At 45.2% G+C, this 25,950-nt stretch overlaps 1 protein-coding gene and 1 long non-coding RNA gene across 3 annotated transcripts in view, besides 1 other annotated feature; one reads left to right on the top strand and one right to left on the bottom strand.

The window, feature by feature from the left end:
• LOC102723321 (uncharacterized) overlaps positions 1–25,950 on the bottom strand; it is an 88,963-nt gene that overhangs the window by 8,721 nt on the left and 54,292 nt on the right. The window contains exon 2 of the long non-coding RNA XR_922079.4: positions 3,247–3,409. This is a non-coding gene — a long non-coding RNA (uncharacterized LOC102723321). The remainder of the gene's footprint in view (positions 1–3,246; positions 3,410–25,950) is intronic.
• On the top strand, positions 7,619–24,771 carry GJA5 (gap junction protein alpha 5). 2 transcript variants are annotated; one of them, NM_005266.7, is made up of 2 exons: positions 7,619–7,718; positions 21,699–24,771. In NM_005266.7, exon 2 carries the CDS (start codon positions 21,732–21,734, stop codon positions 22,806–22,808), a length of 1,077 nt encoding a protein of 358 aa, NP_005257.2. In that variant the 5' UTR covers positions 7,619–7,718; positions 21,699–21,731; the 3' UTR covers positions 22,809–24,771. The 2 variants fall into 2 exon arrangements, with proteins under 2 accessions (NP_005257.2, NP_859054.1); NM_181703.4 differs by lacking the exon at positions 7,619–7,718 and adding an exon at positions 20,368–20,471.
• Positions 22,295–22,589: a silencer, noted in NCBI's record as "tiled region #3144; K562 Repressive non-DNase unmatched - State 21:Repr". NCBI's record gives its function as "represses a minimal TATA promoter and a strong SV40 promoter by Sharpr-MPRA in K562 cells {active_cell/tissue: K562}" and the evidence as "EXISTENCE:reporter gene assay evidence [ECO:0000049][PMID:27701403]".

Below are 25,950 nucleotides of genomic sequence, written 5' to 3'. Positions count from 1 at the left end.
GCATATGACAATAACTAAGGTGTTTGGTGTCCAAAGAACAAATTTGTGAAGACCATCTTATTATGACCATTCTTAATTCTTATTATGACAACAAAGTTGAGGCTTATTGACTTGCCTGAGATCACAAAACAACAAATGGACAAGGTTAAAATTCCATCTCAGATCTCCTGACTCCAAGTTCACCTCTCTCAAAGAGGCTATGAAGATGCAAAGAGAAGGCATCTGTCTAAAGCTGGCGGGCTTTGGTCTATCCCCCGAGAAGGGAATTTGGTCTATCCCCTGAGAAGGGAATCTTCATGTTAGGTAAGAATCTACATTTCAAATTTACTGTATGAGTGATAAATCCCTGTCCTTTCTTCTGGTCTGGGCTGGTATTAGGGGAGCTATTTTTGCACCTTCCTTCTACCAGAGGTGCCTCTGCTAGAGGTTCTTAGTAGAGTCCCTTCCTGCCACAACAAAAGATCCCCACTGGATTTCTCTGAAGAAACTGTACCCCATTGACTTTTTCTTGACTTTTAAAAATGGTGTTTATGAGAACTTTTTTTTAAGAGAGTTAGACTTGTCTCATTTTTGCTTCTGTGAATCCCCACACTACCCCTGTCCATGACCACTGCCATGTAGAAAGAAAGCTGGCAATCCTCTAATCTCTTGTACATAGATGCACTTTAGCACTCTTTACATTGCATTCTACTTCTTGGTGCACAGGACTCTCTCCCTAGCCACCAGGAGCTTCAGGGCAGAGTTTGTGTTTCATTTATCTTTGTATGCCCAGTCCTTGCACAGAGTATGTTCTCAGTATACCTTCACTGAATTAAGGACTAATGAGTGAATGGCTCTATAGAGCAGGTGCTGTTCCTCAGACTCTGGGAGGAACAACTGTGAGGGAAGCACAGGCTTACCTGAAGAGTAGTTGCCATGTGCTCTCAGGTACAAAGGGAAGGTTATATGTGAATGGTGCCTTTGGATGTGTGCAGTGCCCAAACTGCTTGGCTGTATCTGGTGGCCTTGCTCAAAGGAGGCAATGAAGGTGGGCACAATAGTTAGAGCTATAATCATCAGAACCCATGTTTCCATTGTGAAATCTTATCTCCTTTCAGAGTACTCTCCCATTTATAATTTAATTTTTATCTTCAGCATAAATGGCATGATTCGTTGTATCTATATATCTATCTCTCTGTATATTTAGCTATGTATGTATATATAGAGAGGTATATATTGTATATTATATACAATATATATGATAGAGAATATTTAGCACTCACTACATGCCAAATATGACATATATCTCACTCAATCTTCATAGCCAACCAAAAACTACCATTGTTATACTCATTTTAAAAGCAAGAAGGATATAGAAATAGAGGGTCACATTGCTGCCAAGTGGTGGAGCCAAAATCTGAACCTGAGTACTCTTAACCACAAGGTTATTTGCCTCAAGTCCTGTCCATTCTACCTTGTGTATTCAGCCAAGTGAACATGTGACTAATCTTTGAAAAACCAGGGAAAAGTTGTAATCTCCTAAATGCCTCTAATCCTGTATAATAGCTTGACCCTAGGAGCTAACGTTGACTCTAGACACTAATTTGGGAGGAAACATAAAACCTTTGTTATTTGTATTAGTACGTTTTCATACTGCCATAGAGAACTGCCTGAGACTGAGTAATTTATAAAGGAAAGAGTTTTAATTGACTCACAGTTCAACCTGGCTAGGGAGGCCTCAGGAACTTACAATCATGGCGGAAGGTGAAGGGAAGCAAAGCACCTTCTTTGCACGGTGGCAAGAAGGAGAAGTGCTGAGCAAAGGGGGAAGAGCCCCTTATAAAACCATCAGGTCTCATGAGAACTCACTCACTATCACGAGAACAGCATGGGGAAAACTGCCCTGATGATTCAATTACCTCTACCTGGTCTCTCCCTTGACACATGGGGATTATGGGGATTATAATTCAAGATGAGATTTGGGTAGGGACACAAAGCCTAACCATATCATTATTGAATTAGGCTTTGAACATCAATGGCTAAATTATCAGGACAGGTACAGGGTATTGTACCTCACTTTTACACACAAGGAAATACCTCTATTTCAGAGTGACATGTCTGAGGGTGTCTGAGTTAACAGCATATTTGGCAGAAAGTTTCTTGATCTTGTGTCTTACGACTTTTTTTTTTTCAATAGACCACCTAATACTATATCTTGGACATGACTGAAACACCTTTCAAAATAAAAGAAAAGCAAGACCTTTTTGGTCTTGTGAGGTAGGTAGGGAGTGTGGATCAAGGATGCATAAGTTGTTAGAAGAGGAAGGAATGTATACCTGGGGTGCACTACAAACTCTAGACCTTGCTTATAATCAGACCAAAATATGAGGCTCTCAGTCTTCTTGCTTTCAGAGATTTCCCTCTGGATGTAGAGAGCAAATGCCATTCCAAGATCTCCCAGGCCAAGGTCTAATTTTTTGCTGTAGAATAAAATCCCCAGGCTGGGTGTGGTGGCTCACACCTGTGGATCATGAGGTCAGGAGTTTGAGACCAGCCTGGCCAACATGGTGAAACCCTATCTCTACTAAAAATACAAAATTTAGCTGGGCGTGGTGGCAGGCACCTGTAATCCCAGCTACTCGGGAGGCTGAGGCAGGAGAATTGCTTGAACCTGGGAGGCAGAGGTCGCAGTGAGCCAAAATCGTGCCATTGCACTCCTGCCTGGGCAAGAAAGCAAGACTCTGTCTCAAAAAAAAAAAGAAAGAAAGAAAGATTAAAATCCCCAGTCCTGGGACTCTCAGAGCTCAAGTGAAGCTGCACTCAGCTGTTGCCTTCATGCCCTGACTTCAGTGGGAGAGAATTAGGCATGGTTGGTAGTGGATTCCCTCTCCTTTTCTCCTGTCCGTGGAGGCTATTGTTCCAAGCCCACCACAAGAGTTCTTAAGCCTGGGATCCCAGAAGATTCCATTTGCCTTAAGCCTAAGAAGTATGGACATGATCTTGATCTTGTCTTTGGGATTAAAACTTGAGATATGATAAGAGTAGGCTCATAGATCTAAACACCAGGAGCAAGGAAGTCTGTGTTTCTTTTGCTTTCTGCTTCTTGGAACAGAGTGTTCTTGCCCTTTTTAGCCAGTAAAAGTCTTAAAGGGGACGGCTTATGCCTGTGGTGTCTGCATCTTAACCAGCAGAAAAGTGTGACCTCAGCCCACTAACCGTGGCTCCAATTACCCATTTATGGCCTCCAATGAGGCACGGAGGACTCACCGTTCTTGCAATTAGATGCTGACAAATAATTTGCACATGTTGTCATGTAGGCTGTAAGGGAGGTAGCCCTGGACCACAGTGTCTTGGGAAGGAAACTTGTAGAGTCAGAGATTCACTTGGTAGAGAAGACATTGGAAGGTCTCCTCATTTCCCCCCCTTGCCACTAGAGAGAAGAAAAAAAAGAAGCAATTTTCAGTATGCCAGTTTTAAAAGACTTGTGAAGAAGGTGATGGTGCTTCTTCCTGGAAATCAGTGACAGTGCTGAACCACCTTCATAATCAGGGCTGAATACAATCTCTTCTCCTAGGGTTGGAGTCCATTCTTCTTGTGCTATCTGCAGGTCTGTTTGCTCCTACCTGGAGGGCCCTGTGCCCGCCTGTCTTACCAGGCCAATAGGTTTCATGAGAATTTCTTCTACAGCCATGGGGAGAAAGTGCCTAATCTTTCGCACCAGGTGAACCTTTTCTGTACTTATTGAGTGATCTTGGGAAAGTTACTTCACTTCTCTGAGCCTGAATTTTCTTTTCCATGAAATGGAAATAATAACATACTATCTATCTCACAGTGTTGTGAGGTGAAAATACCTGGTACACTGAAGGCCTTCAATAAATGTTCCTCACAGCCATTAAAAAGAACAAAATCATGGCTATTGCAGCAACATGGATGCAGCTGGAGGCCATCGTCCTAAGCAAATTAATACGGGAACAGAAAACAAAATACCCCGTGTTCTGACTTCTAAGTGGGAGTTAAACACTGGGTACTCATGGACATAAAGATGGCAACAATAGACACTAGGGAGTAGTAGTGTCTATTGTATAGAAGGAGGAGGGAAGGAGAGAGGCAAAAGTTGAAAAACCATCAGGTACTACCCGCCCACTACCTGGGTGACAGGATCAATTGTATTCCAAACCTTAGCATCCTGCAATATGCCCAGGTAACAAACCTGCACAGGTACCCCCTGAATCAAAAATAAAAGCTGAAATTAAAATAAATAAATTTAATTTAAATATAAAAAATGTTGCTTTTTCTTCCCCTTCATTATAGCACAACAAAGAGATCACTCTGTACGAAGCTGTTTCCCAAATGATTTTTTCTCACATAATTTAGCACTTCATTATACCATCACTGACACACATACATATAGGATACTACCCTTTATACTAATTGTTTTGTCTCAATAGCTCTTTTCTACAACTAGAATGTCAGCTCCTTGTGGACAGGGAGAGCCCTTGTTTCTCACATAGAATAGGCTGGGCCCATAGGAGTAGCCAATGATTCCTGTTGAGATAAGACACTGATTATAGTGAGAAAGGCTTTATAACGTCATTTTTCTGTCTTTTTATCTCAAAGTAAAAGAATGTGAAATGTGCCTAGTACAATGCCTGGCATGTAATAAATGTTGAATAAAGTTTATTTTGCAATCCCACCTCTACAGCTTTTCCTTACAGGTATGATTTACTAATTCTTTGACTGGATTTGGGCTTCCTCTCTAAATCCCGAGTCCTCCATATTTTGTAATGCGTGGAACACAGACTTTGATACTTCTTTCTAAGACCGTTTCTTGTGTGAAATATGAGGAAGAAGGGGAGGGCATGGGAGAACCTCAGTTCCCACCCTTGGCCCTCGTCCTGTCCTTTTCTCTGGTGCATTGAATATCTGCTTACGGGGTCCTTCTTAGCTATGTGGTGATTGCCAGGTTAAGCCCCTTTAGAGAATCACCTCACATCCACAGCCCAAATGACTTTTTTTTTTTCTTTCAACTTTTGTTAGTCATTGCCTGAGCCAGGTGCGGAATAAACCACATTTGTGAAGCCCTTGCTGAAGCAACGTAGCTGTCCTGGATGCCATGATGAATGGTCCCCGGGTGGAGAGTTGTTTGACCTCATTGACTTGGGATGATCACAGTCAGAGACCTCAGCCTTCTCCCAGCCCTGAGGCGAACTTCCTGGACTTTTCTAGCAAGCCATCCAGTTTCTTCACTGCTTTAGTTCTCTGTCAGCCAAGCACGAAGGGAAAATTTACCTTGTATACCCTGCTCTCCCTCCAGGGTCATGAGTGTGTCTGTATCTGGGCAGCTCTTCCCTTCTGCACATTCAGAGGAAAACGGCATTTTCCTGTAATCTCCAGGCCTGCCCGAGATCATCTCTCCTCTGGCAGCCCAGTGATCTAGGAGTGTACATTCCACTAAACCTTTCCCACTTTCAGACTATCTCCCAGCTGAGACTTTATGGGTTCTTTAACTGGCTACCTCCTGGATGGAGATAATAAGGTGTTCCTAGGTGTCCCCTGCTCTTGTAGAGAGGCTGGGATGTAGGGGCAAAGTCACAGTGTGAAACTCATCTCTGTTTTGGAGAAGCAGGGCTTGCTATTGGTTTCACATGCTAAATTCCATCACAGGACTTTGGTACAGCCATGGCAAGTACAGGCAGGGAGGAGGTTGTGTATTGTATTGCATTGCATTGCATTGCATTGCATTGCATTGCATTGCATTGCATTGCATTGCATTGCATTGCATTGCATTGTATTGTATTGTATTGCATTGCATTGTATTGTATATTGTATTATTATTTTGCAGCCACATCTACAGTACCTCCATGTTCCCAACCATTCTATGTGCTTTTCACATACTCGTTAGTCCTCATGACAGCCCTGTGAAGTAGATAATATTCCCAATTTAGAGTTGAGGAAACTGAGATGCATAGAGGTTAACTTGCCCAATGTCACACAGCTAGTAAGTGGCGGAGCCGGGATTCAAACCCAGTCAGGCTGGCCCCAGAATCTGCTCTGATGCTGCATAAAAGTGGGGTAAACTCTGGCCAAGGAATCAAGAATCCTGCATTTCCTTTCACCAGGGCTGTTGCCTCCCTTGAAACTGGAAATTCAGCCCCTTGCTCTTTTCCCTCTTGCTGATCCTAAGCTCATTCACCCATGAAAAATATAGCCCATTAAGGAAACATCTTTGCAGAATCTTGGAATGCTTGTGACCGGTGCTTTGCGGGAAAGGCATGTTTCAGGTGATGATGTGGAGCAAAGGGACCATTCCGGCTTCCTGCCCTGCCTCTGCCACATACTACTGTATATGACATTGACAAGTGGCCTTTTCTCTGGGCCTCAGTTTCCCTGGCTGTTCCAGATGATCACTGAAATTTTCTTTAGTTCTCATAATCTGTGGGCTCTTAGTCATTGTTTTGTCTGATTTCAGTCCACTCATAGTAACCTCTGTTGTTGACACTTACCTCATTCCAACTGGGTCCACGGCTAAGTGTTTAAGTTGAGGAGTCTGGGGGAGAAGTTGGAGAATGGGAGGGTTTGAGGGAAGAGATACCCCCACAGTTTCTGAATTTGGTCACCTGTGGCATGTGATCTAACAAGAGCCAACCTTACTTTCATCAGTTCAATTCCAGTTGGGAGACCTGTTTGCTTTCACGGAAGGAGCAATAAGATAAATGTTGGCATTGGTGAAAACTTCTAATCCTGATTCTACCACTTACTTTACAAACTGGGTCGCCATAATCATGTTACTTAATTTCTGTGAACCTCAATTTCCTCAAATGTAAAATGCAGAAAAGGTCTACCTTATAGAATTGGAAAATAGAATGATTAAGATAAAAATAGGCAATATATATATATATATGAAGTCTCTAGCCCAGTGCCTGATGCGTAGAAGGTGCTCGCCTCTCTTTAGAGGAGAAGGGGAGAGAGTATGATTCTGGGAGTGAGGAATGCCCTACACTTTTGGAGCTGGGAGGTTAGCATTTCTTTCCTTTCAGGTTAGTCCTGGTGCCTATTCTGGGCGCTGGATGGTTGTGACTTGTGAGACCGTGTTTTCCTGTGCTGGCTTATGCTTAGTTCATTGGTGTGGGCATAGTGGAAATCCCAAAAAAGGCTTGTTATGTGAGTGAACACCCTCTTTTTTCTGATGACGGGAAAAGGATGGGAAGAGGGATCTCTTGGGCAGTGCCAATTTTCCTGCTGATGCTCCAGGAAAGCCATGGCCTGGGAAGTCTGAGGCGACGCAGCAGAGGGGTGGGCAGGAAGAGACTTAGGGAGGTGGTGCACCAGCGGCCCGGGGGAGAGGCAATGTGGAGGACTGCTGTGAGGACAAGGACAACAGGCAGACAGACAGGGGGAGGGCTGCAGGGAGGAGGGGGCTCTGCCTCCTTGGGGGCCAGAGAAGGGGAGCACAGTGAGCTGAGGCTACGAGGAGGTGGAGGGAAGAAGACTTTTAGAGCAAAGACTCTAAGAGCACAAAAGAGAGAGAGGGGAGGGAGGGATTCAGAGGGGAAAAGGGGTGGAGAGAGAAAGAGTAGGAAGAAGTGGGAGGAGGGAAGGCGACAGATACGATTAAAAAGAGGGTGGAAGAGGAACAACTGACAGGCTCAAGAGCAAAAAGCGTGGGCAGTTGGAGAAGAAGCAGCCAGAGTGTGAAGAAGCCCACGGAAGGAAAGTCCAGGGAGGAGGAAAAGAAGCAGGTAAGAGTAGACTTGAATTTGAACAGCTAAAGCTACAAGTGGATATGAAGTAGCCAGAGGAAGGGAGCTTGGATTCTAGGCTGGATAAAAACAAAGCTCTTTCTTTCTACCTGTGAGTTTATTCCTTACCCCTCCCGCTATTTCCTGTGATAGTGAGGTATGGATATATTAAAAAGGAAGGTTTAGCGAAGCAGCAGATAAATTACTTCCTTGATTTAGAGGGAGATGAAGAATTGCGAGTGGAGGGCCCTTGGGGTTCCAGCCTACTTTTGTGGAGTTCAGTCCTCTGGGGGCATCTTAGAAGTGGGTCACCAGTCCATTCCCAAGAACTTTTCTTAGAGGGAATTGGCCCTTTAAAAATAAAACCAACACTGTTTTACGATGCTTCTGCTAGGCATGGAATCTTTTTCAAAATGCCTTTAGCAGCATCTAGGGGAGTGTTTTGCTTTTTTTTTTTTTTTTCTCCCTAAGGCATGTTGGATGGTTTAAAAATATTCCCTGCTTAGTTTCCTGCAGAGTATCATGTCCCCGCTGTGCAGTGGCCACATGTGAGAGATCCAGGCTGCCACTTGCAGCCGGAGGAAAGAGGCATGTGAAACCAGCGAGGAAGGCCAGGAAAGCACCCACTGAAGGTCTCCTTTCCACTTGTGGTGTGAAGTAGGAGGCCATGGGGTAGAAAGATTCTGTTAGTTTCTTCCTGGACCTTTCTTCTGAGCATGCAGTGAAAGAGCCCAAACTCAGGGGCTGGGAGGCCTTGTAGCAGACACATCCCCATGCTGGGCCTCGGTTTCCTCATCTATAAAATGGGGAATTTGAAGTAGAAGGTTCCCTCTGGTTCCATTCAGCAGTAACGGTGTGTAAGGCTGTGATTCCATAGGCTCAAAGGCAACTCAGAACCACTGAAAAAGGGAGGCGCAACACAAGAATTTCTCATCCTGCTCTGTTGCTCAGTTTTTTCCTTATTCTCCCTCGCAGTATTCCATTATAATAGAGGGATTCCTTGTTCTCACTCCCCAGCAAATCACTGGGGCTGCTGTTTCTGGAAAAAGGCTCTGGTGCAAAGAGGTCCAGCTGGCTGCGTGGGGAGGCAGGGCAGTGCAAAGAGCACCGAACAGGGAGTCAGAAGACCTGGAACCAGCAAAACTGAAGGAGAGAAGAGACCAAGGGGAGCGTGTGGAGGTGCAGCGCCTCTGACTGCCTGGTGCTGTGGCTCATGGCTGGGGACACCAGCTGGTATTTAGAGGCCTTCTAACCTGACTTTTACATCAGCAGGCCAAGCAGCCTCCATCCCCTCCACCCACTGTCCCCAGAGTCACAGCCAAGCCCAGCCCAGTCCTTGATTCACTGCTCTCTAGGGACAGCTCTGAACTTTCCACCTTCCTGCCAAGTTGCCCGGCGGCAGAGCTGTTTGGAGCCTGCTCCCCTGGCTGTCCCTCCAAGCCTTTTCCTCACTCAGCACCTGCCAGTGAGGAGTCCCAATGACCACAGTCTGCAGAGCAGAGAGTACCAGGAGGGGATTCTGTGGCTTCCAACCCAACACTCTCTGAGCATCCTTCACCCACACATGTGACGTTCACAGAGCCACAGCAGTCACAGAATCAGGCTGCCCTGCTTTGTCTCTGCCTTGGAACCCCAGAGGTGTGCTTGCTGGGCTCCTGAAGCTGGTCACTGTTCTTACATCTTAACTGCCTCACTCCTGTCCCCTCTCCTAGTACTGCCTAAGGTCTGAGAACATTAGAACTGAAAGAGGTCTCTTCCATTACCAGCCTCCTTCTTTGGCAAATAAGGAGAACAAGGACTAGAGAAGGGCATGACTCGTAGGAGACGACACAGTGAGTCAGGGCTGATTGAGTTGGGAGAGCACCCTGCCCTGCTCACTCATACCGAGGGCTCTTCTAATGTCCATCCCCCGGCTGGATTTTCCTAGCCTCCATCTCTCCCTGAGTCTCCCTGATTCTTCCACTTGAGTGTCTCTACAATTCCATTTTTTGGTATTGACTCCCACCTGCCCACCTGCTCTTCATCGTCTACACTGGCTGTTCGTGGGGCACAGGCAGTGGAGGGCACTGCCACAGTGCCGCCTGGTCTCTCAGGTACTGGCTGACCCCACCTCTTAGGACAGGGGACCTGTCTATGTGGATCAATCAGGACAGGAACTGGATGACCTGCCGTTTTCAGGGACAGGGAGACCCAAGGCCAAAGCTCTGCCCCCGTCCTAGGGAAGGACTCACTTACTGGGGATTCCAGTAGCTCTCTGTGTGAATGAACTCCCATAAGCACCAACCTGGGCTCAAGGGTTGAGCTGGACAAAGGGGAGAGATGACCATTTTCCTGGAAAGCTTCAGGGTTCCTGGAAAGGAAGCTGACTTCCTTACTATTGTTGGAAGCTGCTGGCTCCTGGTGATGCCAGCTTGATGCACTTTGAGAATAAATTGTTTCTGATATATTAGTAAATAATGGGCAAGTAAAATTTAGTATTCAACAGTCCACTGAGAGTCAGGAGGTCGCAGAATGAGAGGTATTGAAAAAATCACAGAGGGACCTTAGAGTTTATCTAATTGAGGGGTAGGGCCGAAGGAAGAACCTGGGCATTTGGAGTCACATTTGGCTAGGATTTTAGCTGTGTGATCTTGGGGAAATTATTTAATGTCTCTTACACTCAGTTTCTTCATCTGCCAAAGATGCTAATAAATATCTTCCTCATAAGGTTTTATGAGGATTAAATATTTTAAATGGCTATCAAATAGAAAGGCTTCCTACGACATATAATTCCAAGGAGGTATTGCTGGTTTTTTATGACCACAGATTTTTTTTTTCTAGGACTCCTTCTGCTGTCCTCTAAGCTAGAAGTCAGAAACTCTGGACTTGTTTCTTGGCTTTGCCACTAACTTGCCATGCTATCACAACTGGGCAAGTCACAGACTCCCCAGATGTTCTAACTTAGAGATGGAAGAGCCTCTACACTTTTGTTTCACATGTGAGCAAAGTGAGGCTCAGGGAGGGGAAATATCTTGTCTAGGATCACAAAGAAACAGCTGGAACCAGAAAAGAGCCTCTCTTCATGAAATGATAACATTGCATTTTCACAGGGGATTTCCCGAATCTTACTCCAACCTGGCAACTCCATGATTCAGAACCTCAGGAGAGGACAGAGGTGGCTAGGGATCAAGATGTCCCTTACCCTCAGATCACAGAGTAGACAACCCCCTCTTTCTCTTCCAAGTAGAACTGAGCCTGCTTCAAACCTCTCATTGTGAGTGTGCCTTCTGCTTGGTGATCAGATTCAAAAGTGCTGCAGCTTCTCAGAAGAGAGGCATCCCATGAGGCATACATTTTATAATATGGAGCCATGTGGAGTCCAACTCCAGGCCCAAAATCTTGAGTTAAGGACACATTAGGAGGCATGCTGGACTTGAAACAGGAATGAGAGTGGCTTAATTTGATTGGGCCCTACACCTCCCTGATTCTCCAGACTTGACCCAGGAGGTCTGGATGCCTTGTGAGATAACTAATTTGTAGACAAATTCCTATACTTTCCATTGTCTGTGTTTTTCCCATCTCTGACAGTTACCCTCTTTTACCTGTGCCACATGAGGGTCCTTGCTGTGTCACTAACCAGCCTGAAGCACTATCAGATTCTGCATCAAGTTGGCTAGTTGGATCATGTCTGAGAGGAGTTTTTACTGGAAATGTCAGAAAAGAAAACAAGGAACTAATATCATTGAGTGCCTATATGCCAGATACTGTTCTAGGTGACTCCACATGTCCACACATTACGTTATCCCCATGAATAAACATTCCTATTTGTTAGATGAGTTAGAAATTGGGAGGATAAGTGACTTGCCTAGGGTTACACTACTAGAGAGTGATGCAAGCAGGGTCCTAGCCCTACTAGTCCTTAGAGACCGGAAGTTCCTCCGCCTAATAATTGCTGTTTCTGTTGTTCTTGTTATGATTTCACATCAATGGAACACCAGAGCCTGCTGTTTGGCCAGCCAAGAACCGGGCAGTAGACACTGCTGCAGCCAAGAACACTTGCTGGCTAAAAAAGGAAATAACTTTCTATATGTGAATTCTGGCCAAATGATGGCAGAGGCCGAAGAGTCTGGGAATCCTGACCACTGTGGGCTGAGGGCCCCAATGTAATAATTAATTCTAGGAACAGCATATGTAAGGGATGGCCAGCCAGTAAGGCAGAAGCTAAAAGGAAAAACGCTGGGTCTCTTCTGAGGCAAGGTAAAGTGGGAAAAATAGATGATGATAACTCTGAGAGTTAAGAGACTGGAGTTCTGGGCACGGGCTTATCATCATCTATCAGTCCTAGTCCTTGGTTTTCTTTCTCTTGTCAGAGATGTAGAGAGGATGTGGGCTTTAGAGTTAGGCTAGCTGGATTCAAACCCTTTATGCAGCATTTGCCAGTTGTGGCACTTAGTACAAGTACTTAGCCTCTGAGCCTCAGTTTTTTCATCAGTGAAATGGGGCAATACTACTTTCCTTGCAGTGTTAATGGGAGGGTTAGAAAGTATAGTTATAAAGGGCTTCACACATGGGAAATACTCAAGTTAGTGTTGTTATCACTCTTACTTTACTTCCTTGGACCCTTGTCATCTTGTTTAAAAATAAGGAGTTGAGTTTGATTGATCTCTACATTCCGTTCAGCTCTACTGCACTATAAATCTATGACAAATGGGGAAAATAATAAAGAAATGTGGGTATTATAATTTTCATTAGTAATTAATTGCATGGGTACTAAGTTACCCCCTTGGAGCAATTAATAAGGACCTACCAATATTTTGTTGACATTTAATATCTCCATTTACTACTCCCTTTCTTTCACTTTTCATATTTTTTCTTCCAACAGTTTAAGAAAATTATTTATCCTAGCACGAATCTCTTTCTGCACTTTACTCCCTTCTACTTCCTTGGCTTTGAAACAACTGTCTGCCAGCAGGGTGTCTCTGAGTGGACCCATCTGTTCTTGCCAGAATAAAATAATTAAATTTAAAAAGGAATTAATTATCTGCCATTGGTGCCACTGGCCAGAGTAAGAGGAAGACTGAAGTGAGTACTTCATCTCACTCATCTCTTCTCCTCTCTTATCTCTATCTTCCTTTCCCCTCTACAATGAACAAGGTTCAGGGATGCTGGCCCTCAGTGGACTTCTAATTCTGAGGAAGGTGCCCACACTGCCCAGCTCAGTAGCTACAGTTACATCACATGCCTGATCATTTCTCCTGAGGCTGAAGTAGTTACCCCAAATGTAAATCAGGAAAAGAATGAAAATCCTAAATGTAAGAATTAGCACCAGTCACCTACAATCAACTCCCTATCCGAACAATGATCTCAATGAACATTCCTGCTTCAATCATCTTATATAAAAGTGGCCAGCCTTTGACTGGTTAGGATTTTCCAAAGAAGGAACTTCAAGTGATTTAGATAGAGTTTAGCACAGTTGTCAAGGCAGGGACACTGCTGTCAGATGAGCTGGGAGCTCTTACTAGCAGTGTGATCTTGCTCAAGTTACCCTCTCTGAGCCCTGTAACAAAAGATGAGAGGCCAGCCATGGTGGCTCATGCCTGTAATCCCAGCACTTTGGGAGGCCGAAGTGGGTAGATCGTCTGAGCCCAAGAGTTTGAGACCAGCCTGGGCAACAGGACAAAACCCCATCTCTAAAAAAAAAAAAAAAAATAACAAAAATTAGCTGGGTATGGTGGTGCATGCCTGTGGTCCTGGCTACTTGGGAGGCTGAGGTGGGAGGATCACCTGAGTTCAGGAGGTCAAGGTTCCAGTGAGCTGTGATTGTGTCACTGCACTCCAGCCTGGGTGACAAAGTGAGACCCTGTCTCAAGAAAAAAAAAAAAAGAATAGTCCCCACTTCCTCAGGCTGTTGTGAGAATCAAATGAAAACAGATATGGAAAGACACTTATAGAGTGTCTGGCACATAGAAAGGTGTCAGTGAGTGTTATTTTATTTCCATTATTATTATTATCACCTAGATCCAAATTCTTTTTTTGTGTGTGTAACTGGGTAAACTAGAAGACGTAGTTGGGAATATCAAAGGATAACAAAGATTACTGAAGTAGCTGAGGATCAAGACCACTTTCTCATGCAATTCTCCCTACATACCCATTTTAAGGAGAAATTATTGGGGTGAGAGGAAATCAGAAAACATGTACACAAATTAATAAGGTACAAAAGACTTCTGACATAAAGGTTATGCTTGGTGCTTTGCTTTATAAAGCTACCTTGATGTCTGACATGGCAGAGGAGCTCGATAAGCACTTTCTGAACTAAACTGCACTGATATGATACTATTTCTCAGGCAGCCTTTCAGTGAGGCCCTTTGGGTCCTTTCACAACAGAATTTTCTTAATTGGGAAGCAAATGAACTCTGCCCTGCACCACATTCCACTGTATGGTGAGTGGAATTATAGCATGGGCCCAGGGGGTTGTTATTATTACTATGAATAACAACCTTTATGGAGAACCAGAGATCTGTTAGATACTGTCCAGAACATGTGTCGTTGTCCAGAATTAGACTCAGACTCTGTGGAGTGGTCTTGTCATCTAATTTTGACAAGCTTGGATAAGTTCCCCAGTACTATGAGGGGAGGAGGCAGTGAGAGAGTAGTCCACAGTGATGGAATTTCTGCTTGAGACACATTCATTCCTGCTGAGAGAACGGCTCTGTCACAGGTAGAAGAAACACTCAGTGGCTTCCATCTCCCTGGTGTTCTGGTCACCATCGTCATTGGGCAGGTGTCCCTATGCCAGCTTCCCAGGCAGGCCCCTCCACTGACATGCAGCATGGCCCCAACGTGTTGCTTGGCCTCTGTGTGCATTCTCATCCTTTTCTTCAGCAACCGGTAAATAATTGCCTTGATCAATTTGGCATTAGGTGTTTTGAGAGACCTAAATGCTATCAATTCATCCATCGTTGTTTTTATAAAGTACATACCACACTGTGCAGGGTGTGGTATTGAGCACTAAGGGGTTTGGGGTGGAGGGAATTTCAGGAGGATAATACAATGATGAACAGAAAAGCAGTTTGTCTTCAAAGAGCTCAGGGTTGAGTGGGAGAGAGAATACATGGCCTGTAGAGCAACTAATTCTCAGGTGTGTGAGACCTCCAAGGCTTTACAGTTCAGCCCAAGGCCCAGCTGCTGACTTGGGGGACACAGAAATTATTGTAAAATACTATATTAGAAAGGCTATTATGTGTGACTCCACAGGACAGAACTGGAATCAAGAGAAAGAAGAGAATTTTCAAGGCATCCCTATGGTAGGGCCTCACTCACTAGCAATATACCTTCTTAAGCAGGAGAGACGAGGGTGCAGTCACAGCAAGTGTGCTGGGAGGTACCTGTCATCTGCAGCCTACCTAGTTGATGCTGCAGCCACTACTAAAAGACTGCTACAAGCATGGACATTACTAATTGTGCAGTCCTTTACATCCCCAACCCCATTTGGAGGCTTCAGATTAGGCCCTCAGGAGCAAATAATGGACTAAGCATGGCCTATCATGTGGGTTGAGAATGACTCCAAACTCCTAGGCATGGCTGTTAAAGCCCTCCACAATCTGCTCCTGCCTGCTATGCAGACTCTCCTTCCATGCTCTGCTCATTGTACTCTAAAACCATGCTGGTTTTCATTTCAATGAATTTGTTCATGCAGTCTTGCCTTTGTCTGAAATCCCCTCATCTCTTCTGCAACTCCTCCATCCACTCCACACCCCTACAGACATCACATACCCCTAACTCCTACACCAGAGTTATCTCCACTGGGAAGTCCTCTCGAAGGTCTAAGAATTGATGAGCTCCACTCTTGGAGGGGAGATGGAATGAAACTTTCTGGCATGCACCAGACTTGAACAGAAACTCTGGAATGAAGCCCTGGTTCTTCCCCCATTAATTGTTTATTTGAACGAATCACTTTTATATGTTTCCTCCTCTGCAAAACACAGGCAATAACAATCACCCCACAGAGTGGTTATGAGGATTCATTCATTCAACAATAAAAATTGAATGTCTATAACATTCTGAAGGTATTCGGTCTTGAACAGAACAAATATGATCCTGCTCTCTTGGAACCAACAAGAGAATGTAGAAGCACATTTTGAACAGTATGTAAGCTTTTATTTTTATTTATTTATTGTGAGGTTTTATTTTTACTGCTGACCTTAAGAAGAAAGACTTGAGCCTCCTTAGGACCTCTTTGCAATCTTACTGCTAGCCAAACATTTTCTTCAATCATTAAGAAAGCATTTATTGTGTACCAAATGAGAGAACCTAATGCAATAAGAATGCAAAGTAGAAGACAGGGCTTTTAACTTTGAGAAGCATACTACCCATTTGAGAGAAAAAGCTGTTAAATACTTGACAGAAGGAATCATGCCTGACTTTATTAATTTTTTTTTTTTTTTTTTTTGAGACGGAGTCTCACTCTGTTGCCTAGGCTGGAGTGCACTGACGTGATCTCAGCTCATTGCAACCTCCACCGCCCGGATTCAAGCAACTCTCCTGCCTCAGCCTCCTGAGTAGCTGGGATTACAGGTGCCCACCACCACACTGGGCTAATTTTTGAATTTTATTAGAGATGGGGTTTCACCATGTTGGCCAGGCTGGTCTTAAACTCCTGACCTCAGATGATCTGCCCGCCTCGGCCTTCCAAAGTGCTGGAATTACAGGCATGAGCTACCACACCCGGCCGATTTTATTAATTTAATAGACACCATTGAGTGCCCAGTGTGTGTCAGGCCTTGCACCTCTTTGGTACTGTTCTCATTACTCAGAACAGTGGTAGGCACATAAAGGGGACTCAGCAAAGTATCTGCAGGTTGGCTGATAGACAAATGTTTGGAAAACAAGTCTAAGGAAATATATAACCAAGTGTGAGGATGTATCCTCCATGCTGGATGGTAATTAAAATTGCTACCATGTACCAGATGCTCAGTCTTCTGGAGTTCAGGGGACACCAAAGAGGGCTGAGGTCAATTTTAGAAGACTTATCCATTTTGCTGTAGATTTGCGGAGTCAGAGGAAGAGGTTCTGGCTATGAGTTTATGATTAATCTGGGTTGCTCTGAAATGATTTTCTTTGAAAAACACTGGCCGTGTAGGGGGACCACGAGAAGGAGCACTGGGCCGGGCATGGTGGGTCATGCCTGTAATCCCAGCACTTTGGGAGGCCAAGGCGGGAGGATCAACTGAGGTCAGGAATTTGAGACCAGCCTGGCCAACATGGTGAAACCCCTTCTCTACTAAAAATACAAAAACTAACCAGGTGTGGTGGCACACACCTGTAATCCCAGCTACTCCAGAGGCTAAGGCAGGGAGAATTGCTTGAAACTGGGAGGCAGAGGTTGCAGTGAGCTGAGATGGTGCCACTGCACTCCAGCCTGGGTGACAAAGCGAGACTTCATCTCAAAAAAGAAAAAAAGAAGCACTGGATTCAGAATGTAGGTGCCTGAGCTTTATTTCTGGTCATTGGCCATACAGTACATGAAATAAAATCATAAAATGATTCATGCTCACTATACACAAAATCCTTCCTCTGGCCCTCTTCCTCTTATCTAAGCACCATGTTGCTATTGCCAAACAAGTTTCCTAGTGGCCCCTCCAAAATTTGCTTTATCTCAGGATAGGACAAGTTGAAAGAGGATGTTGAAGGTTTGGGAGTGAAGAACCTTTAGAGTTGGGATGGTTCTCTTCCAGGTTCTAGGGACCATCTCTTTTTGCCTTGCTGATTTCAGAACTTGTATCAGTGGCAGAGGGCTTTAGAACGCAATTCCCTAGGACTCTCCCCAAAACCCAAAAACCAGATTCAGGCTCCTGCCCCACATTCCCATGACACCTTATACTTCCTTTATGTTAACACACATTGTGTTTTACTGAAATCATGTATTTAATGTCTGCTGTTAATAAAGGGGTATAAAGGCAGTTACACTCAGTGAAGTCAGGGAATCCCTTGTTTGTTTCCCCTCCTTCCTGCTGTATCCTCATTGTCCAGAATGATGGCTGGCACCCTGTAGCCACTCAATAAACGTATTAAATGAATTTTAAAAAGGACATTCTAGGCAGAGGGAACATAAGAAGCCAAGATAAATGGGTGAGAAATGGTGAGATGCACATAAGTACATGTGAAATTGTGTAGCTTAAGTATTGAGTGTGTGAGTGGAAAAGTGGAAAAATGATAGCATAAGACTGTACAGGGTTTCACATGGCAAGTTAAGCAGTTTGGACTTTCTAAGTGGTAGGAAGCCAGTGAGGATAACTGCTAAAGCAGTGAGGTAAATTGCCATTGTGTTTGATAGCATTTATTCATGGCATGGGCAGCTTCCTTTGCCCCTCCTAATACACTTCCTGCCAAGAAGCAGATAATAATCTACAAAGTATTTTATATGCTATACGCCCAGTAAACTCACTGAGTATCTAATCTACAAATTTCTTTGGCTGAGATGGGGTATCCAAAGGGAGCCAACGTAGCTGGAAAAGTAACTACAGCCAGAGACCTTTCACATTATAAACTGAGCATCTGGTACATGGTAGCTATTTTAAGTTTCTCTGACCTTGCCTGAGCGTCAGCAGGAAGTCATACATGAAAAACCCTTCACCCTATTTCCTCTGCCTGGGCCCAGGAGGTCTGCCTCACCCCTATACCTCCTCAGATAGTTTCTCTTTTTCCCTCCCAATAAGATATCCTTCCTAATACTGCCTTTCTGGTTTTCCAAGGTGTTCCTTTCTTGTATCTGTGCTTTACCTCTTCCAGGTGGAATTCCTTGGACAGCAGTGAAGGAGTCAGCAGTCAAGCCTCTTGGCAGACTAGACCAAAGGGTCACATTCTTTGCCTGGAACTATTTTTATACTTCCTTGGGGACTTGCAAGGAATGAGTGACAGAGTGAGAAGATCAAGGGAGAAGTCTTCAGGGACTGAGTGTGGAAAACTTGCCCCAAATCCTGGAAGAATATGACATTTGTTTCTTTTTTTTTCTATTTCCATTTTCCTCTCATTTCCTCCCCTTCTACTCTTGCTCCCATTTCTTTTCTCCTTTGTAATGCACCTTTCTCTACTTTCTGCTTTCTCTTTTTCCCTCCTTCTTCTACTCTCATCCTTCCCCACTGCTCTTGTTGCTAGTAATGGCTACCTTTTATTCAGTTCTTATTTGCTGAACACTGTGTTAAGTGCTTTGCACGCATCATCTCATAGCACTCTATGAGTTAATAGTATGTCCATTTTGCAGGTGAGGAAAGTGGAACACAGATTGAATCATTTATCTAAGCCCAGCAGATGGTAATAGAAATTTGTCAAACCTCAGTAAGCTAACTCCTGCATCTGTCTTTTCTTAACCCTACATGGTCTTTTTCTCCATTTCCAACTCTCCCTTGTCCTTCCCTTTTCTTCTCTTCTTTTTATTCCTCCCCTTCTCTCCCTCCCTCTTTTTCTCAGACATTTACCATAGTTCAGTCACTGCACGTGTGTGGCTGACCCTGAAGGTGCTGAACACTGTACATGTGCCCAGAAGAGAGGACAGACAATTCAAACTCTTATCTAATCAGCCATTTTCCTTTTGAGCACATGCTCCACAATTTTCCACATTTGGAGGCTGAAAGAGGGGGCGCTTCGCCACCTAAGGAAATGGGGCAGATGTCTGATCACAAATGACAGGAAAGGCCTCAAGACCTGCATGGGTCTTTGATATAGAGAGGAGCAGAGATAAGATGCTTTCCGCTCACTCAGGAACTCCCTCATTCCCAGGGACACTGTATACTCTCAAGTTTGGGGACCTGGGGTCTGAGAGAATACAGGGCCAGGAGGTTGGTCCCTGTCAAGGCAACAATCAACTCAAGAGCTGAGGAAGCCTGGACTATGAAATGCACCACCCTGACCCCATCTTTCCCCATAAGCATGAAGAATGTTCAGACAGAAACCAGGAGCACGTTGGCAGCAAAGATATGACGGTCAAAGTTTGAATTTGACAAACCTCTAAGGACCCACCCAAATCTGAGGTTTATGATTCTAAGAAAGGAATATTTATGCTCCATTCCCTCCGAGACGTTTGTCATCCTGTTGGTTAGGAATGGTTAGAGGCTTAAACTGTAAGAACATTCGTTATTCACTAAGTAAGAATTCTGGAGGTAGGGAGCCTCAAGAGTTGCTTCAGAGGCCTCAGGGCACTGGTTGACATTTCTGAGATTCTCTGGACAGCTTTAGACATCTTGGTTCATACAACTCTGTCCACAGGCAGGAAGCGGTGGGGCTAAGTGAGGCTCACTCCTATTCACCGGGGGATGGGAGCACTGTGAGTAGTCTCCCTCCTGTTCACCAGGGGATGGGAGCACTGTGAGTGAGGTTCCCTCTTGTTCACAGGGGGATGGGAGCACTGTGAGTGAGGCTCTCTCCATTTACTGGGGGGTAGAAAAACCTTTTCTGGAGCATTCCCTCTACTTTAGATTCTCCCCATACCTCACCTACCAGAACTAACTGCAGAGGAGATTAAGAAAGTGATACCTGGCTTTTTCACCCTGCCAATGGGAGGCAGGCAAGAAACAGGGAATTGGTTTTCTATTGGGTAGGAAACAACAGTGCCTGTCAGCCCCTCCTTCATTCACTCAACTAAGATATATTAAACACCTACTCTGGGCCAGGCTCTGGTGATACAGAAGAAAAGACAGTCTCCATTTTCAAACAGTCCCTCCTGGGAGAACACAGACAGGCAGAGGATTACAACACAAGGCAGCAAGCACTGGGAGACGAGTAAGTGTCCCGGGGGCCATCACAGGAGCTGAAGAGGCTCAGCTTGAGGGAGGAGGGAGGGCTGGAGGAGGCAATGACTGGGTTAAGTTTTGAAAGGTAAATGGGATTCAGCTAGGGGTGAGGGGACATGTAGGGGTACAGAAGGAGGGCATTTGGGAAGACTTGGCATGGCTGGACAAAAGGAACTCATGTGGACAGGCAGGAACAGGCTGGAAAAGCAGACAAAGGCCAGATGAGGGAGGATTTTGTAAGGGACATAAAGTTTTGGGACATTTATTCTGGACATAAGGGTGGGCAGATCTGTGTGTGGGAACCTTATTTAAATGAGACACAGAAACTTAGCAGCAGGGCGAGCTGAGCTGTGTGGCTGGAATGGCTGTGTTGCACCGAGGCATGGGAGATCAACATTGCCTTACCAGCCAGGGGAAGTGAGCACTCATCTGTGATACTGTTAGCTGGTGTGACCAAAGCACACTTTTTGTTTGCCACCTCCCAACACAGCTGGTCCATGCTGGATGGTTCTGATTTTTGCAGAGTGCTTCCTGAGGGGCCAAATTTGCCAATCCCATCCTCACTCTTTCCTCCTCCACCTAGTTCTGCCCTCTGGAGCCATAAAAAAATTCCTTTTCCATCCAACAGCCATTTAAACATTTGGAACAGTTGTGGAATGATTTTCAGAATATCACACACCTCATATCATTTAATCCTCAGAATTCTCTGGTGTAGCTATTCCCATCCCCATTCGATAAATGAAGAAACAGACTCAGTGAGGTAAATGCCCAGAGTCACATTTGCAGACCCCAGTCTTGTGTTCTTTTTAATACTCGTGTTTCTCCAGGTGCGGTCCCTCACCGCCTGCATCAGAATTACTTGGGCTGCTTGTTGTAAATCCAGATTCCTGGGGGCCATCCCAGACCTCCTGAAGTAGAATTACTGGGGCAAGAGCAGAATCCATATTGTAACACACACCACGATTTCTAGATCCGTTAAAGTGTGGGAGCCATGCTCTAATTTTGCTAATATGGCTACTTTGAATCTTCTCTTTCTTTTTATTTTTGCTGGGAAAGGAGAGCGAGCTTTTCGTTGGTTGCTTTGACTTCTAAGTTGCATTTTCTTAAAGAACCCATTGGATGGATGGATCAGTGGAATCCCAGAACATGATAGACATTCCAGACCTTCACAGAACATCCTTCTTCTTTTCTCTCTTTCTCTCTCTCCCATTTGCAGAAGTTTTGGCATCTGTTCCCTGGCTGTGCCAAGATGGGCGATTGGAGCTTCCTGGGAAATTTCCTGGAGGAAGTACACAAGCACTCGACCGTGGTAGGCAAGGTCTGGCTCACTGTCCTCTTCATATTCCGTATGCTCGTGCTGGGCACAGCTGCTGAGTCTTCCTGGGGGGATGAGCAGGCTGATTTCCGGTGTGATACGATTCAGCCTGGCTGCCAGAATGTCTGCTACGACCAGGCTTTCCCCATCTCCCACATTCGCTACTGGGTGCTGCAGATCATCTTCGTCTCCACGCCCTCTCTGGTGTACATGGGCCACGCCATGCACACTGTGCGCATGCAGGAGAAGCGCAAGCTACGGGAGGCCGAGAGGGCCAAAGAGGTCCGGGGCTCTGGCTCTTACGAGTACCCGGTGGCAGAGAAGGCAGAACTGTCCTGCTGGGAGGAAGGGAATGGAAGGATTGCCCTCCAGGGCACTCTGCTCAACACCTATGTGTGCAGCATCCTGATCCGCACCACCATGGAGGTGGGCTTCATTGTGGGCCAGTACTTCATCTACGGAATCTTCCTGACCACCCTGCATGTCTGCCGCAGGAGTCCCTGTCCCCACCCGGTCAACTGTTACGTATCCCGGCCCACAGAGAAGAATGTCTTCATTGTCTTTATGCTGGCTGTGGCTGCACTGTCCCTCCTCCTTAGCCTGGCTGAACTCTACCACCTGGGCTGGAAGAAGATCAGACAGCGATTTGTCAAACCGCGGCAGCACATGGCTAAGTGCCAGCTTTCTGGCCCCTCTGTGGGCATAGTCCAGAGCTGCACACCACCCCCCGACTTTAATCAGTGCCTGGAGAATGGCCCTGGGGGAAAATTCTTCAATCCCTTCAGCAATAATATGGCCTCCCAACAAAACACAGACAACCTGGTCACCGAGCAAGTACGAGGTCAGGAGCAGACTCCTGGGGAAGGTTTCATCCAGGTTCGTTATGGCCAGAAGCCTGAGGTGCCCAATGGAGTCTCACCAGGTCACCGCCTTCCCCATGGCTATCATAGTGACAAGCGACGTCTTAGTAAGGCCAGCAGCAAGGCAAGGTCAGATGACCTATCAGTGTGACCCTCCTTTATGGGAGGATCAGGACCAGGTGGGAACAAAGGAGGCTCAGAGAGGAAAGACGTGTCCCTTCTGAACTGATGCTTTCTCACTGTCATCACTGCTTGGCTCCTTTGAGCCCCGGGTCTCAATGACGTTGCTCATTAATTCTAGAAACTATAACCAGGGCTCTGGGATAGTAAGAGAGGTGACAACCCACCCAGACTGCAGTTCCCTCCCCACCCTCTACCCAGTATACGAAGCCTTTCAGATTACTCATGAAACAGGGTAGAGGGAAAGAAGGGAAGCATGGCAAAAGCTGGCCTGGAAGGGATAGCCAGAGGGATAGAATGACTCTCTCTCTACATACCAGCAGCATACCAAATGCGTTCTCTAAGTTCCTACCTCCTTGACCTGATCACCCTCCCTCCTCCAAGGAAGAGCTCAAAGTTCCCAGCCAATAGACAGCATGAATCAAGGAACTTGCATTATATGTGCTCTTGAATCTGTTGTCTCCATGGACCATTCCTCGGAGTAGTGGTGAGATGGCCTTGGGTTGCCCTTGGCTTCTCCTCCCTCTACTCAGCCTTAAAAAGGGCTTCTTGGAACTTTACCAGCAGCCTCAGCTTTACAAATGCCTTGGTATGTACCTCTGGCAAATGCCCTGGTATGTACCTCTGGCAAATGCCCCACCTTGGTGATGTTGCAACCTTTCCTTCTGCTAGGGTGTACACCTAGCCTGTGCAGGTGTCAGCCCTGCTAGGGAGTCACTGTACACACAAACTCTACTGGAATTCCTGCCAACATCTGTCACCCTGCAGCTCCTTTACAGTTCAATCCAATGATAGAAACCATCCCTTCCCTTTCTCCCTTGGCTGTTCACCCAGCCATTCCCTGAAGGCCTTACCAACAGGAATATCCAAGAAGCTGTTGTCCTCTCTCGAACCCTGACCAGATCATCAGCCACTGAGGCCAGTGGAATTTCCCCAGGCCTTGTTAAAACAAAGAAAGCATTGTACTTCTCAGATTCCCCTTGTGGAAAAAAAAATTCTGCTGTGAAGATGAAAATAAAAATGGAGAGAAAACACTGGAAAACTATTTTCCCCTCCTATTTACTTCCTTTGCTGACTGCCAACTTAGTGCCAAGAGGAGGTGTGATGACAGCTATGGAGGCCCCCAGATCTCTCTCTCCTGGAGGCTTTAGCAGGGGCAAGGAAATAGTAGGGGAATCTCCAGCTCTCTTGGCAGGGCCTTTATTTAAAGAGCGCAGAGATTCCTATGTCTCCCTAGTGCCCCTAATGAGACTGCCAAGTGGGGGCTGTAGAAAAGCCTTGCCTTCCCCAGGGATTGGCCTGGTCTCTGTATTCACTGGATCCATAATGGGTTGCTGTTGTTTTGGATGAAGGTAAACGATGCTTGGAATTGGAAACTGAGACTTATAGAGGGATTATTACATTATTAAAATGCACGTGTGTGTGTGTGTGGGTGCTGATGGGATGGGTAAAGGCTTGGGGAGTCCTGAAATAAGGAAAGGAAACCACAGAGAAACTTGTGTCTTCCTGCTCTCCTCTCCGGCTGCCTGGCAGTTATTAACCTAAACAGATAGCCACAAGAGGTTGGGACAGAGGAGGGTAAAGGCTCAGAAGGAGGTTCAACCTCTGACTCACCTGCCCATCTCTGGGCCCTCTGCTGACACTTGGATGCTATTGTTGGGTGGAAAGATAAATGAGAGTGGAGAGGTGGAGGAAAGTGACTAGGATGCCATTTAGGAAGGAATGTCTGATCATCCCGGGTCCCTGGAGGGGACACCTTTTAATCTATTGCCTAGCATTAATATTTTCTCTCCTTCTATCTCTGAAATGTTTTATGAAATGAGTGTTCTTGAATTAGAAATTCTGTGGGATCAATCTTTGATGGTGAGGGTTTTAGAAAGGAAAAATATAGTAAAATGTGTAATTTGTCTTAATAAAATCTATCTCTACATCTATCTCTCTTTTGTTGTCCACTTCATACTGTGACTACAAGAGAAGGATGGCAGACTTGGTGGGGAGGGGAGCGCTTGGACTATACCCATCAGTAAGCCAGTAATGCAAAGAGCTTTGAAGTCAGGCATGCAATGGTTAAAATTCCAGTTGTTAACTTACATCTGGACTCCAGCAAGACAATCTCTGAGCCTTGGTTTCTTCATCTGTAAACTGGGCCCCATTAATATCTACCTCATGGGGCTGTTAACTGAGCTGTTAAGTACCTCATAGGGCTGTTAACTGAGTTGACTGTAAAGAGTTTAGCAGAGTGCTTGGGAAATAACAGTCATTACATGGTAATTGTTGTTATTATCTGATTATTTTTGTTATTGTTTTGAATACACAGTATTTGAAAATGGGATGTTGAGGGATGATTCCAGAACTTCCCTTTATCAAGCCCACAATCTGCCTAATGTGATCAGAGTAACTCACATTATTCTATTCTAACAATTAGAACAGAATTAAACACGAATTCATTTATCATCAATTCTAGGAACCATAGGCTCCAGGAGGTGATACATAAAAAATAAAACAAAACAGAACAAAACAAAAAACTAACAAACTACACAGAGAAGAGGGGAGACCTGACCTGGACCTAAAAATGAGAAGGCTTTAAAGAAGTATAGACCCCAAGGATGAGTCTGTGAAATAGGTGTTTGTATCACCATTTTACAGATACGTAAACTGACGCCCAGGAGAGCTCCCTGAGAGTGGGGCTGCTTCTCACTGGCTCGCTATTGATATTTCATCTATTTGGAAGAAGAGAAATAACTGTTGCTCCAAACAAAGGGTCAAGGGACCGGCCACTTAGCCTTTCACCAACAAATGGGTGTCATTTCTGAGAGAAGATTAGGAAAGACAAACAGAAGTGTAATCTTAACTACCAATCAGTCTTGTTTATCAGGGCAGGAAAGCTTTTTAAAAAAGGTCTTGCAAAGAGATCATAGAACGCATATTATGACACCAATATGGAGACTTAGGAGTACACCTGGCCTCTGTCTGAGGATAAGGTGCTCCACCCAGAGATACCGCAGTAGTCTAACCAGAGAAAGCACTTGGAACCCATTTTTTTCTCCTAGAAAAAAAAAAAAACAGTCCATCTCACATGTTTATAAACATAGTCATTAACATTTAACAGTTCA

Source organism: Homo sapiens, chromosome 1 (assembly GCF_000001405.40).
Source record: "Homo sapiens chromosome 1, GRCh38.p14 Primary Assembly".
Classification (NCBI taxonomy): domain Eukaryota; kingdom Metazoa; phylum Chordata; class Mammalia; order Primates; family Hominidae; genus Homo; species Homo sapiens.
Note: the sequence above shows the minus strand (reverse complement) of the source record. Positions and strands in the feature narration are given on the sequence as shown.

Bases quoted from the DNA above. Each gene is read 5' to 3' on its own strand.
- GJA5 (NM_005266.7), top strand. From the start codon at position 21,732: ATGGGCGATTGGAGCTTCCTGGGAAATTTCCTGGAGGAAGTACACAAG.